We start from the raw sequence: 2,162 nt of genomic DNA on the forward strand, positions 1-2,162 counted from the left end.
GAATAACACTACAGTATCTTTATGGCTACTTACAGTGTATCTATGCTATGATCTTATGAGTTGAGATAATGATATTTTAAAGTTTTATACTTGCAAATTTTATATTGTAGCATATTTTTTGTTAAAGGGCTGTATCTTGGGTGTCATACTTGGAACAGAGAAAGAAATGTGTTGTGAGTTTATTAGTATTTGAAACTCAAAAAGTGCTAAATAAGCTGCATGCAGGTGTGGAGTGGCCACAGGAGTGGTGTTCAAACAGAGTTACAGCTGGAGCACTGTGCCTGTGTTAGGTCAAAAGTGGAGCTATAGCTTGGGATTCTCGTGAACAGTCTGGGAAAAGAGTATTCAAGGATATCAGACCAAAAGGAGTATAATAAGAAGTAAATTAGATGATAAGACAGAGGGCAAGGAAGAGAGTTACCAGCTAGGAACTGGGAATTACACAGGAACTGAGGGAAGAAAATGTCTAGGAAAATTTGGGGGTGGTGTGGACAAGGAGAAAAAGGGTCTAATCCCAAGAAAAGAACTAACCCTCAAGCATAGTATATCCAAAAAACTCAAAGACCTTCAGATTTGAAGTTAGGTTGTGTCTCCATTAGGAAACTTACATGATTTAGGAATGTAGGAATCCCAACGTGGAGGATACCAGACTCCTAACATGGAAAATGATTCTGTAGAAGCACATGGTTGAATGGGAATAAACCTGTAGCTTTGAGAACCATATTTTGTTTTCATTTTTCATTTTAAATTTGGAGAAATTAAGGTAACGGAGTTTCCCCAGAATAGGAGAGGGATGGGAAGTGTTGTTTTTAGCTGAAGTACTATATGTGCCAAATATTTTTTAGCTGTAGAACTAGTATCTAGTTGGAAGACATAGCAATAACAATTAATTCTGCTTCTTAATGTACTGCAGGCCAGGGAAATGGAAAGCGAGAACAGAACAGTGATAAGAGAATTCATCCTCCTTCGTTTGACCCAGTTTCGAGATATTTAGCTCCTGGTCTTTGTGCTAGTTTTAATATTCTACTTCTTCATCCTCCCTGGAAATTTTCTCATTATTTTCACCATAAGGTCAGACCCTGGGCTCACAGCCCCCCTCTATTTATTTCTGGGCAACTTGGCCTTCCTGGATGCATCCTACTCCTTCATTGTGGCTCCCAAGATGTTGGTGGACTTCCTCTCTGAGAAGAAGGTAATCTCCTACAGAGGCTGCATCACTCAGCTCTTTTTCTTGCACTTCCTTGGAGGAGGGGAGGGATTACTCCTTGTTGTGATGGCCTTTGACCGCTACATCACCATCTGCCTGCCTCTGCAGTATTCAACTGTCATGAACTCTAGAGCCTGCTATGCAATGATGTTGGCTCTGTGGCTTGGGGGTTTTGTCCACTCCATTATCCAGGTGGTCCTCATCATCCGCTTGCCTTTTTGTGGCCCAAACCAGCTGGACAACTTCTTCTGTGATGTCCGACAGGTCATCAAGCTGGCTTGCACCGACATGTTTGTGGTGGAGCTTCTGATGGTCTTCAATAGTGGCCTGATGACACTCATGTGCTTTCTGGGACTTCTGGCCTCCTATGCAGTCATTCTTTGTCGCATACGAGCGTCTTCTTCTGAGGCAAAAAACAAGGCCATGTCCACATGCACCACCCATATCATTGTTATATTCTTCATGTTTGGACCTGGCATCTTCATCTACACGTGCCCCTTCAGGGCTTTCCCAGCCGACAAGGTGGTTTCTCTCTTCCACACAGTGATTCTTCCTTTGTTGAATCCTGTCATTTATACCCTTCATAACCAGGAAGTGAAAGCTTCCATGAAAAAGGTGTTTAATAAACACATAGCCTGAAAAAGGGCAAAAAAAAAAAGAATAAAAATAGACTGTAGAATTTTATCTGAAATTGATTTGTTTATTTCCAAGTACTGCAATCATTGAATACCTCCCATTTGTCAGGACTATTCTAGGAACTGAAGAAAGAAAGTATTGAGGCAGATAAGGTCTATCTGCTCTCCAAGAGATACAACCTAGTAAAAATAGACCGCCGTTAAGGTAGAAAATAAACAGCATAGTTTCAGGAAGAGATACTGCTCTGTAAAAACTAAAACGAAAAGTGAAATGATAAACTGTGACTCTGGATTGGGAGTAACCAATTTGTGTTTAATAA

The 2,162-nt window shown here is 40.7% G+C and overlaps 1 pseudogene across 1 annotated transcript; it reads left to right on the forward strand.

The window, feature by feature from the left end:
* The first annotated feature begins 922 nt into the window (after window positions 1-922).
* Window positions 923-1,859, forward strand: OR4N3P (olfactory receptor family 4 subfamily N member 3 pseudogene; annotated as a pseudogene). Its single transcript, NR_028067.1, has one exon. The product of NR_028067.1 is annotated as an olfactory receptor family 4 subfamily N member 3 pseudogene (transcript).
* Window positions 1,860-2,162: the final 303 nt, after the last annotated feature.

The sequence above is a fragment of the Homo sapiens genome, chromosome 15, assembly GCF_000001405.40.
Source record: "Homo sapiens chromosome 15, GRCh38.p14 Primary Assembly".
NCBI lineage: Eukaryota > Metazoa > Chordata > Mammalia > Primates > Hominidae > Homo > Homo sapiens.